The sequence below is a fragment of the Homo sapiens genome, chromosome 19 (genome assembly GCF_000001405.40).
Source record: "Homo sapiens chromosome 19, GRCh38.p14 Primary Assembly".
In the NCBI taxonomy this organism is placed as follows: Eukaryota; Metazoa; Chordata; class Mammalia; order Primates; family Hominidae; genus Homo; species Homo sapiens.
Genome location: NC_000019.10, coordinates 11703005 through 11717703, shown reverse-complemented (window position 1 = coordinate 11717703; position 14699 = coordinate 11703005).

Sequence of the window (14699 nt, the reverse complement as noted above, 5' to 3'; positions counted from 1 at the left end):
TTAGACCATGAGAGTGGAGCCTCAATAATGAAATTGGTTACCTATTGTGAGTCCGCCCAGCAGCTTGCTTTTTTGCTCTCTGCCTTGGAGGATACATTAAGATAGTTATCTATGAGGCTAGGCCTGGTGGTTCATGCCTGTAATCCCAGCACTCTGGGAGGCTGAGGTGGGCAGATCACTTGAGCCCAGGAGTTCAAGACCAGCCTGGGCAACATGATAAAGCCCCATTTCTACAAAAAATACAAAAATGAGCTGGGCATGGTGGCACACGCCTGTAGTTCCAGCTACTTAAGAGGCTGAGGTGGGAGGATCACCCAAGCCCAGGGAAGCCGAGGCTGCAGTGAGCCGTGATCACACCACTGCACTGCAGCCTGGGTGACAGAGTGAGACTCTGCCTCAAAAAATAAACAAAAAAGACAGCTGTCTGTGAATCAGAAAACAGGCCCTCATCAGACACTAAATCTGCCAGTACCTAAATTTGTTGTAATTTTGTCTTTGGACGCTGGTAAGAGCTCACAAAAGAGGACAGGCAGGCGGGGTATGGTGGTTCATGCCTATAATGCCAGAACTTTGGGAGGGTGAGGCAGGAGGATCGCTTGAGCCTAGCAGTTCAAGACCAGCCTAGGCAGTGTGGCAAGACCCCTTCTCTAAAAAAATAAAATAAAAAGAGGAATAGAGAAAGCTTCCATCTTACTAGGGCACATAAAAAATCATGTACAAAATTTTGGTGGATATATGGACAATAAAGGCAATACTAATGAGGTCTCAGAATTGAGGACAATATTACTGCATAATAGAGAAAAGATGAACCGTTGCAGAAAGTGGCAAAGAACTTGGTGCATTGTACTCCGGTGCTACTGTTTTGGGGAAACTAGAACTAGGAAGTGATGAAACTTGATATTGAGCTGACAATATTTCTTAGAAGTGTTGAAAAAAACAACCTGGGCCGGGCGTGGTGGGTTCACGCCTGTAATCCCAGCACTTTGGGAGGCCGAGGCAGGTGGATCACGAGGTCAGGAGATTGAGACCATCCTGGCTAACACAGTGAAACCCCGTCTCTACTAAAAATACAAAAAAAATAGCCGGGCATGGTGGCGGGCGCCTGTAGTCCCAGCTACTCGGGAGGCTGAGGCAGGAGAATGGTGAGAACCCAGGAGGTGGAGCTTGCAGTGAGCCGAGATTGCGCCACTGCACTCCAGCCTGGGTGACAAAGCCAGACTCTGTCTCAAAAAAAAAAAAAAAGGAAAAAAAAAACAACTTGGATCCTCTTGACTGCATATACTAAATGTGAGGAGAGGCCGGGCGCGGTGGCTCACACCTGTAATCCCAGCACTTTGGGAGGCTGAGGCAGGCAGACCACTTGAGGTTAGGAGTTCGAGTCCAGCCTGACCAACATGGTAAAACCCTGTCTCTGCTAAAAATACAAAAATTAGCCAGATGTGGTGTCACATGCCTGTAATCCCAGCTGCTCGGGAGGCTAAGGCAGGAGAATCGCTTGAACTCAAGTGGCAGAGGTTGCAGTGAGCCGAGATCGCAACAGTGCACTCCAGCCTGGGCGACAGAGTGAGATTCTGTCTCAATAAATAAATAAATAAAATGTGAGTAGAGAAAAATGTTGGAGATGGAATTATTAAGCAAGAAGAAATTGAGAAATTGAAATGAAAATGTTTAGAAAACAATTATCGCAAAGATGAAAAGGCATGCTGGGAAGACAGCACCAAGGGTGTGTCCAAGACCTTTTGATAGGAAGAGTGGTATTCTTGTTAACCATGGACTTAGCCACCTCAGCAGTAAAATAGCCCCTTTGAACTGAAAGTGAAGGTCACAGGAAAAAATGAAAGTTGTTGGACCTGTATGATTTTACAGGAACCATCCATAGAGCTGAATGCATGGTATTCTTAGAGACAAGAGAAGAAGGATCCCAGTAGCTGTTTAGAGGTCATGAAGGCTGCCTCCTGAGCATCAACAGTAGGGGACATTTTGGAGTTTCCACAAACAAGATGAGCTAAACCCAGAAGTGTGGATGCAGTGCCATCAAACGCTATTTGGGTTTGATCCATGTCTAACAGAGATGCTGGGACACAATTGCTGTGTCACAATTCCTTGAGGGCAGAGTATTGAATGAAAAGGGATTATTATTTAGCCTTAAGATCCTGGCCGGGCGCAGTGGCTCACACTTGTAATCCCAGCACTTTGGGAGGCCGAGGCGGGCGGATTACCTGAGGTTGGGAGTTCGAGACCAGCCTGACTAACATGGAGAAACCCCATCTCTACTAAAAATACAAAATTAGCCAGGCGTGGTGGCACATGGCTGTAATCCAAGCTACTCAGGGGTCTGAGGCAGGAGAATCGCTTGAACCCGGCAGGCAGAGGTTGCAGTGAGCTGAGATCGCGCCATTACACTCTAGCCTTGGCAACAAGAGCGAAACTCCATCTCAAAAAAAAAAAAAAAAATCTCATGAAGTTTACCTTTCCAGGTTTTGGACTTGCTTGGGAACTGTCACTCTTCCACCCCTTATATGGCTCCCCTTCGGAATAGCATTGTTTATCTTATAACTGTTCCACCATTATAATTTAAAAGTACACAACTGATTTGATTTTACATCTGGAGAAGAATGTTGGCTCAGCATGAATGTTACATTGACTCTCACCCTTATCTGATTCAGATGCTATTTAAATGAGACTTTGATTTTAGGCTTCAGAGTTAATGATAGAATGAGTCAAGACTTTTGATGGTGTTGGGATGGAATAAATGTATTTTGCATGTGAGGAAATACATTGGGGTGGAGATTACAATATTATTGAGTTTATTTGTCCCCTGAAATTCATACGTTGAAAGACTACTCTCTAATGTATGGAATGAGGAGATGGGATCTCTGGGAGGACATTAGGATGAAATGAGACCATGAGGGTAGGGCCCTCATGAATAGGGTTAAGAGGGTAAATTTTGTCCAGGCACAGTGGCTCATGCCTGTAATCTCAGAACTTTTGGGAGGCCGAGGCAGGGGGATCACAAGGTCAGGAGATCGAGACCATCCTGGCCAACATGGTGAAACCCCATCTATACTAAAAATACAAAAATTAGCTGGGTGTGGTGGCGCACGCCTATAGTCCCAGCTACTGGGGAGGCTGAGGCAGGAGAATTGCTTGAACCCAGGAGGCAGAGATTGCAGTGAACAGAGATCGTGCCACTGCACTCCAACTTGGTGACAGAGTGAGACCCCTTCTCAAAAAAAAAAAAAAAGAGGGTAAATTTTATTTTATGTGTATTTTTGCACCATAAAAAAAGTCAGGGAGGCCGGGCCTGGTGGCTCACGCCTGTAATCCCAGCACTTTGGGAGGCCGAGGGGGGTGGATCACAAGGTCAGGAGATCAAGACCACCCTGGCGAACACGGTGAAACCCCGTCTCTACTAAAAATACAAAAAATTAGCTGGGCGTGGTGGCAGGCGCCTGTAGTCCCAGCTACTCGGGAGGCTGAGGCAGGAGAATGGCGTGATCCCAGAAGGCGGAGCTTGCAGTGAGCCGAGATTGCGCCACTGCACTCCAGCCTGGGTGACAGAGCGAGACTCTGTCTCAAAAAAAAAAAATTTTTTGAGAACATATAATGCAAAATAAGGGATCGTTGAAATGTAATTCTGTACCTGGGCTAGAAGTTCAAGAAATGGATATAGAGAGATCACGACCTGCACAAGAAACAATTTTCTGATTCTAATTGTAGAGTGAATGTTGAAGGGGAAATATGTAATATAACATGGAAACTTCCAAGTTGGATGAATGAGGGAAATCTTGTCCTCATAATGTTATAGAATGTATGTAGTGTCCATTTTTAATTTAGGAAGGACAGTAAATTCTGCTTTCATCCAATACGTCTTTACAATGTAGGATGACTTGAGGTTCTGTAGTGTTTACTCAAGTGTTTATCATGTAAATAACTTATCCCAATCAGGGTCAATTTTCCAGTGATCTATGGATAAATTCCAGTGATATACAAACATATTTATCCTCTAAAGCCCTATTATATTTTTTGCCTTTCTGGGGTATTTTGTTGCATGTGTAACAATCCTTAGGTTTACACATCCAACAATACATTCTTTCTACTTTGCTTTGGTAGTCATTTAGTTAGCTCACTTTTTTATGGTTTCATTTGTAAATATAATGCACATGTTACATTCTTCTATGTTGTAGGCCCAACAATCCATTGACTACTTATTATTTTACACAGTTGCCTTTTAAATCTATAACGAGAAGAAAGATGAAGAAATACACATACCATTTGTCGTTCCCACTTACATAATCTCTAATGGTGCTCTTTGTTTTTCCCTGTGGATTTTGACTTTTTTTAATTTCAAATTGAAGACCCTCCTTTGATCTTTCTTGTAGGTCTGGTGTAGTAGGAACACATTCTCTCAATATATATATTTTAAGCCTGGGATAGTTTTTCTTTTGTCTTCCATTTTGAAGATGAATTTTTTGGATATCAGATTCTTCATTAAGGTATGTTTCAGAGCACAGCACGATGAGGAACCGGTAGGTGAGAGGCTTCCCAGTGAAAGGAGGAACAGAATCTAATGAAAGCAAATATGTCTGTTTAACCCCACTTATTATTACGGTAGTCTATAGTACTTACTGTCAAAAAATGATCATTATGTTGGCAGGCCGGGGCGGGCAGATCACCTGAGGTCAGGAGTTCAAGACCAGCCTGGCCAACATGGTGCAACCCCATATCTCCTAAAAATACAGAAATTAGCCAGGCATGGTGGCGGCCGCTTATAATCCCAGCTACTTGGGAGGCTGAAGTGGGAGAATCGCTTGAACCCGGGAGGCAGAGTTTGCAGTGAGCTGAGATTGCACCACTGCACTCCAGCCTGGGTGACAGTGCGAGACTCAGTCTCCAAACAAAAACAAAAAAAAAAGATCACTATGAAGAACCAGATGGAAGAAGCAAGTATCGTGATTGGAGATGATAGCACTATTTGCCCAGGAAACTAAAAACAAAACACCTGGAAAAGTATTAAACCTGATAATGGAGTCAAGGTCCTGCTTATGGAGTAAACATATGCTGTGTACACAATAACATAAACTATATAGTATTGAATTTAAATCACATTTCTTACAAATATATATAAATTTCTGAGGAATAGAACTAATTCCATGTGCAGCATCTATCTGCTGACAAGTGTGAGAGTTTCCTGATGAAATGACCTGCTCGTCACTTCCATGGATATAGGTCTACAACTTTGTTGGCTTGAAGGCTCCTCATCCTCACACGACTGGAGGTAAATGTACGTAAGTAATTCAGGAAATTCTTAACCAAATTTACTCATGTATAATGTTCCAGAAAATTTGCCACATCAAAGAAATGTTATAAAATACATAAATATTGTCTTTATCAGTGGCTCATTGACAAAATAGATCTTCACTCTGGATTCCTAAGTCTTATATTAAAAAATTAATGTGAGATATCTTTGTAAATTTTCTTTACACAAAGGTTCATCACAACCATAAAAAAAAAAAAAAATCAGCCAGGGGCAATGGCTCACACCTATAATCCCAGCATTTTGGGAGGCGTGGATCACCTGAGGTCAGGAGTTCGAGACTAGCCTGGCCAACATGGTGAAACCCCGTCTCTAGTAAAAATACAAAAATTAGCCGACTGTGGTGGTGCATGCCTGTGGTCCCAGCTACTCGAGAAGCTGAGGCAGGAGAATTGCTTGAACCTGGTGGAAGTTACAGTGAGCCGAGATTGTGCCACTGCCCTCCAGCCTGGGCAACAGAGCAAGACTCTGTCTCAAAAAAAAAAAAAAAAAGAATAAAATCATGTCGTTTGATGCAACATGGATGCAGCTGGAGGCTGTTACCCTAAACAAATTAACACAGGAACAGAAAGCCAAATACCACATATTCTCACTTAGAAATGGGAGTTAAACAGCTGGGTGCAGTGGCTCACGCCTGTAATCCCAGCACTTTGGGAGGCCGAAGCAGGTGGATCACGAGGTCAGGAGTTCAAGACCAACCTGGCCAACATGGTGAAACCCTGTCTCTACTAAAAATACAAAAATTAGCTGGGCGTGGTGGCAGGTGCCTGTAATCCAAGCTACTCGGGAGGCTGAGGCAGGAGAATCATTTGAACCCAGGAAGTGGAGGTTGCAGTGAGCCAAGATCGTGCCATTGCACTCCAGCCTGGGTGACAGGGCGAGACTCCATCTCAAAAAAAAAAAAAGGGGGGAGTTAAACATTGAGTAAACATGGACATAAAGATGGGAACAATACATACTGGGGACTAGTAGACGGGGGAGGGAGGGAGGTGAAAGGTTGAAAAACCACCTGTTGGGAACTATGCTCGCTACCTGGGTGATGGAATCAATCATACTTTAAACCTCAGCATCATGCAAAATACCCAAGTAACAAACCTGCATGTGTACTCCCTGAATCTAAAATAAAAGTTGATTTTAAAAAGAGCTTTCATAAGTTGAATAGGTGGTGGGTTTGTTTTGGTAAAGTCAGTTGATAAAATTTTTCTTTCAATTTTGTATTCTCTTGGATCCTTGAGTTGCTTGAAGTTTATGTGTAATAGACAAGTAGATTTAATTCTTTTTTTTTTAATTTTTAGAGATCGCATCTTATTCTGTTATCCAGGCTGGAATGCAGTGGTGTAATCATAGCTCACAGCAGCTTTGAGCACCTGGGCTCATGACATCCTCCTGCCTCAGTCTCCCAAGTAGTTAAGACTACTGGTGCATGGTACCAAACTCAGCTAATTTTTTTTTTTTTTTTTTTTTTTTTTTGGAGAAATGAGGTCTTGCTATCTTGCTCAGGCTGGTCTTGAACTCCTGGCCTCGAGCCATCTTCCCGCCTCGGTTTCCCAAAGTGTTGTGATTGCAGGCATGAGTCATGCTGCCTGGCAACAAGTTTAATTCTTATATGGTTTTAAAATCGATGCTTATCTAAAGAGCCTTTGAAACATGACATTTTGGTATTTGTTGTGACTTTACTACTGGCCTTTTGTAGCAGGTACTGGGTATCTGCCCCTACCCCAACCCCGAACTCTGTTAGAGTATCTCGTTCACATGTCAGACAGTGACTTTTGGCCCTTGGAGGAAGCAGAAACCTCTCTCCTCCATCACGTTCTGCCCATCCCCTTCCAGGATCCTCGTGTTTTTCCTGCTTGCCTGTGTGCATGCTTCCCCGAATCCCAGGGTGAGCACATGGGTAGCAGGGTGCGAGCACTCCAGCCTCAGTGTGTGAGCAGAAGGGAGGAGACACCCCTTCATATTGTCTTATGCCCGATTTCTGCCTCCAAAGAAAGAAGAAGTAAAAACTAAAAGGCAGAAATGAAATCCGCAGGCAGACAGCCCGGCGCCTCACCCTAGGCCTGGTAGTTAAAGATCTACCCCTGACCTAATCGGTTATGTTATCTGTAGATTACAGACATTGAAGAGAAAAGCACTGTGAAAATCCCTGTCCTGTTCTGTTCTGTTCTAATTGCCAGTGCATGCAGCACCTAGTCACGTACTCCCTGTTTGCTCAATCAATCACGACCCTCTCATGCGGACCCCCTTAGAGTTGTGAGCCCTTAAGAGGGACAGGAATTGCTCACTCGGGGAGTTCGGTTTTTAAGATGTGAGTCTTGCCGATGCTCCTGGCTGAATAAAGCCCTTCCTTCTTTAACGTGATGTCTGAGGGGTTTCGTCTGCGGCTCATCCTGCTACAAGCACTCCAGCCTCAGTGTGTTGCTGACTGCGCACACAGTCACTCCCGGTCAGTTCCCATGAGTGGCCATTCCTGTACTTCAGGAGCAGTGGGACATGCCATGGCAGTGCTGGAAAGGCAGGCTCGGCCGTGGCCGCATGGTCTTCTTGGGACTGTCTCTCTAGTGTCCTCTCCCAGTTCAAGCCCAAGCATTTTGCAGCCCTCCTGGGTCTACGCCACCTAAGACATTTTGTTGATTCAAATACCTCAGTGGTGAGGAATATGCAATACCCTTAGGGCTGAATCAGGTGGAGGGGGAAGCTTATGAGATGTACTTCTCAAACTTTCACAGGAAATATGGATCTTCAAATTCAGCTTCTGACTCAGCAGATTAAGAGTAGGGCATGAAAGTCTGCATTCCTGGCCGGGCGCAGTGGCTCACGCCTGTAATCCCAGCACTTTGGGAGGCCGAGGCAGGTGGATTGCCTGAGGTCAGGAGTTCGAGACCAGCCTGGCCAACATGGTGAAACCCAATCTCTACTAAAAATACAAAAAATTAGCCGGGCATGGTGGTGCACGCCTGTAATCCCAGCTACTCGGGAGGCTGAGACAGGAGAATCACTTGAACCCGGGAAGTGGAGGTTGCAGTGAGCCGAGATCTTGCCATTGCACTCCAGCTTGGGCAACAAGAACGAAACTCTGTCTCAAAAATGAAAGAAAGTCTGCCTTCCTAACTTGCTTCCAGGTGTCATCTGTGTTGTTGATCCTTGGACCACAGCTAGAGTGCCAAGGTAATAATAGATGGGCTTCAATAGGTAGGCAGGGGCCAGATCACATGGGATCTTGTCGCCATGTTATAGACAGTTACTGGATTTTGAGCAAAGCAGCAGTTTTCATTAGTGTTTGAAGAAGTTTACTCCTTCTCTTGGTTGGGAAAAAAAGATGCTAGAGGGGAGCTGGAAGACCAGTTTGAAAACCACAGTAGTAGTTGCAAGATAGGTCGTGCTGGCCTGGACTTGGCTAGTGTTAGTGGATGTTAACAGAAGGTTGTGTATTTCGAAATCTAGATATGAACCTGAGCAGTGTTTTTGGAGCTGGGTGGGATGGTAGAGAAAGGCCCTACCATTCCCACTATTTAGTGGAGTCTGGACATAAACATAAAGGACCGGTGCTGATAGTGTTCAGTGCAGTACAGAAGGGTGTGTGGATCTGAGAGCATATGATGATGGAGGGGGTTCCCAAACGAGTCTGAGAGGTTAGTGGAGGCTTCCCTGGTGTGGGGACTGATGCTCAAATTAAAACCTGAAACCTGAGTGGGAGTGAACCAGGCAGAGGTAGCTCCTGTAGAACTTCTGATGATGTGAAAAGAGAGAAGAGTCAAGGATGTGTCCTACTGTTCAGAGCTCCTGGGTGCTGCCTCTTACTCAGAGGAACAAGGCTCAGGGGAGTTGACAGGAGGGGAAGTCAAGGGTTACGTTTCATGTTCAGCCATGACATATTTGAGCCAAACAAGGGAAGATTTTTCAGCAGGCCACTGGACCTGGGAGTCTGGAGCTTGCAAGGGAGATCTGGATGGAATGTTGAGAATATTATCATGCGGAAGTTATTTGAAGCCCCGGGTCCAGAACAGGCCAACTGGTTTCAGAGTTAGGAGCGAATTATAACAGAAAATGACTGCTCAGCCAGGTGCAGTGGCTCACGCTTGTAATCCCAGCACTTTGGGAGGCCGAGGCAGGCAGATCATGAGGTCAGGAGTTCGAGACCAGCCTGGCCAATATGGTGAAACCCCATCTCTAATAAAAATACAAAAATTAGCCGGCTTTGGTGGCGTTTGCCTGTAGTCCCAGCTACTTGGGAGGGTGAGGCAGGAGAATTGCTTGAACCCAGGAAGTGGAGGTTGCAGTGAGCCGAGATAGTGCCACTGCACTTCAACCTGGGCAACAGAGCGAGACTCCATCTCAAAAATAAAAATAAAAAATAAATTTAAAAATTGAGTGCTCAAGAGGAGTCCAAGTGCTGGCAACCCCTGAGGTTAGCAGGAGGAAGAGCCTGGAAGAGACTGGGCAGGCTGGTGAGGCAGGAGGAGTAACAGGTGGATGTCCTCTCCTGGAAGCCTCCAGAAGAAAGTATCTAAAGATGAGAGAGTGGCCAACTCTGTCACAGGTAACTGAGAGTTTGAATAAGACAAGGAAACAGGGTTGACGTAGATTTTGACAAGTGTTTGGTCACTGGGTGCCTTGATAAGAGCTGTTTCATTAGAGTATTCATAAGAATAAATTGCATTGAAATGTAATTCAAATAGACTTCCAAGATGTGGCCCAGGGGCATTGTTGCCTATGGCAAGTGTAACCACTGGGACTGTCCATCTGGAAGACCCTTCTTCAATGCTGGTACAAACTAAAATACATACTGGATGGGATTATACTATACATGTTACCATACCACTTGCTATTTCTACTTAGCATCCCATATACATACACATAATTCCCTATTCTCTCCCACCCCCAGGTCCTGATAATCTCTATTCTATTTTCTCTCTGTGTGAATTTGACTATGCTAGGCACCTCATATAAGTGAAAGCATACAGTATTTGTGCTTCTATATCTGGCTAATTTCACTTAGCATAATATTTCCAAGATCCATCCATGTGGTGGCACATATCAGAAATTCTTGTTTAGTGCTTGAATAATTTTCCATTGTATAGTTAAAACACACTGTTCTCATCCATTTATATGTTGATAAACATGTGGGTTTCCACAATCACATTTTGACTACTGTGAATAAGGCTGCTATAGAATTAGAATACATGTGTCTGTGTGAGTCCCTGCCCTCAATTCTCTTGAATATATACATGGGAATGAAATTGTGTGAGATTTACAAGTAAGCAGTGTTGTGTGAGATTTACAAGTAAGTAGTGTTGTGAGAAATAATTGGGTCAGAAATTTTGTAAATGCCAGGGCACAGCCAGTTTTCTTTTCTTTTTTTTCTTTTTTTTTCTTTTTTTAATTTTCTTAACTATTTCCTATCTCTGTAAATGTCCCAGCTGGTAGGAGATTAGTGCAAAGCAAAATATCAAAAGAAAGGGGCTGGTCGGGCATGGTGGCTCACACCTGTAATCCTAGCACTTTGGGAGGCCGAGGCGGGTGGATCACCTGAGGTAGGGGGTTTGAGACCACCTGACCAACATGGAGAAACACTGTCTCCACTAAAAAATACAAAAAATTAACCGGGCGTGGTGGCGCATGCCTGTAATCCCAGCTACTTGGGAGGCTGAGGCAGGAGAATTGCTTGAACCCAGGAGGCGGAGGTTGCAATGAGCTGAGATCGTGCCATTGCACTCCAGCCCAGGCAATAAGAGTGAAACTCTATCTCAAAAAAAAGAAAAAAAAAAAAAAGAGAGAGAGAAAGGGGCTACAAGGAGTATGTTTGGTATAATCTGATTTTCATTAACAATGACAATTGTTAACAAGTTACTATAATTACTAATCATGAGGCATATATAATCTCTCCAACAATTGTTTGTCTCTCTTTTGTATCTATTGGTCTCCTTCAGATTATGGGACATTTACCTGATAGTAATATCAACCAGAGTTAAAGACAGCCTTTACAAAAAATAAAAAAATGGCCGGCCGCGGTGGCTCACGCCTGTAATCCCAGCACTTTGGGAGGCCAAGGTGGGCAGATCACGAGGTCAGGAGATCGAGACCATACTGGCTAACACGGTGAAACCCCATCTCTACTAAAAATACAAACAATTAGCCAGGCGTGGTGGTGGGCGCCTGTAGTCCCAGCTACTCTGGAGGCTGAGGCAGGAGAATGGCGTGAACCCGGGAGGCGGAGCTTGTAGTGAGCCGAGATCGCGCCACTGCACTCCAGCCTGGGCGACAGAGCGAGACTCTGTCTCAAAAAAAATAAAAATAAAAATAAATAAATAAATAAATAAAAATAAAAAAGTAAATTATTTGGGCATGGTGGCACATGTCTGTGATCTCAGCTACTTTGGAGGCTGAAGTTGGAGGATCACTTGAGCCTGGAAGGTTGAGGCTGCACTGAGCTGTGATCATGCCACTGCCCTGCAGCCTGGGTGACAGAGCAAGACCCCACCTCAAAAAAAAAAAAAAAAAAAAGGCAGGCTTATAAATTGGGGGGAGAAAGGATAAAGGGGTACATGTCTGTCTTTCTATTTAACAGTATTTAAGCCCTATCATTCCTGAAAGACATAGGATAAGTCTCCTTAATATGGACTGAACAGTGAACAGTAGCCACTTTGGGAGGGAGATGAATAGCCTGTAATAGTGCATGTATTACATGTCCATTGGTAATAGATGATAGGTAATAAGTAACCAGAACAAGTTGTAAATCCTCCAGGTTTTGAGACTGTGTCCACTGCATGAAAGACTCCCAAAGCGTATCTGGTATCCGTGTAAATTGTAGCCGTTTTCTTTTTCTTTTTTCTTTTTGAGGTGGAATCTGGCTGTGTGGTTCAAACTGGCCTCAAACTCCTGGCCTCAAGAATCCCCTTGCCTCAGCCTCCTGAGTAGCTGAGATTGTGGGTGTGGAAGCTTACTCTCTGTGTCAGTTTTCTTGTTTGCCAATGTGCAAGCTTTCCTAAGAGCTATGAGTTCAGTCCTTGGGCTGATTTTACAGTGAGTGAAGACAGTGCCCCGAGCGTTTCATGTGGAGCAACCATGGCATGACCCATTATTATGTTCTTCAGAAAATTTCTTTTACAGGATGTATCCTAAAATAGAAGTACATCTAGGTTGTCTAAGGGATGCTCTTGCGGCTTTAGAACCATTTCTATGCCTGCATGACTATCATGTGGGACGGAATGGGATGCTTCAGCATCAGGGTGGGTAGTAAAGTAACCAGACTTACTGGCAAATTGTCAGCTATATAGACCAGCAGGGCAGAATTGAGAGTCCCTTAGCTATGGTTTAAATATTTGTGTACTCTCTAAAATTTATAAGTCAGAACTTAATTCCCACTGCAACACTATTGGGAGGAGGGGCCTTTTGGTGATTAGATCATGAGGACTCTGCCCTCGTGAATAGATTAATGGCATTATACAGGGTTTGATGAATGCAATTTGCCCTCTCTTGCCCTCCTGTCTTCCACCCTGTGAGAATGCAGCAATGCTGAAGCCAGATGCCAGTGTCTTCTTGGATTTCTAAGCCTTCTGAACTGTGAGAAAGTCAATTTCTATTCTTTATAAATTACCCAGTCTGTGGTATTCCACGATAGCAGCACAAATGGACTAAGACACTCTTTGTTTATGGCTCATTGATTTTCAACAAATGGGCCAAGATGCTTTCATAGGGAATGGGTTTTCAACAATGTGCTGGGAAAATGGGATATTGACCTGCAGAAAGATGAACTGAGAACCTTTCTCACATTATACACTAAAATTAACTCACATTGCCAGGCGCTGCGGCTCACGCCTGTAATCCCAGCACTTGGGGAAGCCGAAGTGAGCAGATCCCTTGAGGCCAGGAGTTCCAGACCAGCCTGGCCAACACAGTGAAACCCTGTCTCTACTAAAAATAGAAATAAATTAGCCGGGTGTGGTGACGCATGCCTGTAATCCCAGCTACTTGGGAGGCTGAGGCAGGAGAATTGCATGCCTGTAATCCCAGCTACTTTGGAGGTATGAGAATCACTTGAACCTAGGAGGCAGAGGTTGCAGTGAGCCGAGATCGTACCACTGCACTCCAGCCTGGACGACAGAGCAACACTGTGTCTCAAAATGAATAAATAGATAAAGTAATTCCTGATAAGAAAGGACTTGGTTTTGTCATTTTCCTATTTGTTTTCAATATGCCTTGTAGCTTTTTTCTTCTCATTTCATGCATTTCTGCATTATTTTGCTTTTAATTGCTTTTTGTAGTGAAACATTTAAATTTCTTTATTGTTTCCTTTTGTGTATACACTACTGCTCTGTTAATTACCATGGGGATTGCGTTTACCATCCTAAGGCCATAACATTCTAAATTTATGCCAATTTAACATAAATAGCATGCAAATACAATGCTCCATGGCATGCCTGTTCACACCCCTTTCAGTTTGGTGTCATAAATTTACATCTTTATACTTTATGTATTCAAAAACGCAAACATATTTTCGGTGCATTCGTTTCTTTCTTTCTTTTTTTTTTTTTTTGAGACGGAGTCTCTCTCTGTCTCCAGGCTGCAGTGCAGTGGTGCAATCTCGGCTCACTGCAACCTCCGCCTCCTGGGTTCAAGTGATTCTACTGCCTCAGCCTCCCAAGTAACTGAGATTACAGGCGTGCGCCACCACGCCCAACTAATTTTTGTATTTCTTTTTTTAGTAGAGATGGGATTTCTCCATGTTGGTAAGGATGGACTCAATCTCTTGACCTCGTGATCTGCCTGCCTCAGCCTCCCAAAGTGTTGGGATTGCAGGCGTGAGCCACCACGCCCAACCTAGTTTCTTTTTTATTAGTCTCTTAAACTGTGTAAAAAAACAAAATATAGAGTTCAAAAGCCAAGTCTAAAATGCTAGCTTTTAGACTAATAATTTTTAATGGATTTGTATCTTCAATTATGTAAAGACAAAAACTGGAGTTCACAATTATTGTACAATAATATTAGCATTTATAATTGTCCATGCATTTGTTTCTACTGAGATCTTTATTTGGGCTTACGCCTTCCAGATATTGTCCAGTGTTCTATTTCAACCTGTAGAAGGCTTTTGCGTTTCTCACAGGGTACATCTAATGGCAAAAACAAAAAGAACAAAACTACCTCAGTTTTTGTTCATGTGAGCATGCCTTAATTTCCTCCTCACTTTTGAAAGACAATGTTGCCAGATATTGGATTCTTGGCTGTCTTTGTTTCTGAGATGGAGTCTTGCCATGTTACCTAGGCTGGCCTTGAACTCTTGGGCCTTAACTGATCCTCCCACTTCAGACTCCGGAATAGCTGGGACTGCAGGGATGTGCCACCGTGGCCATTTTTTTTTAAGTACCTTGAATACATCAGCCCACTA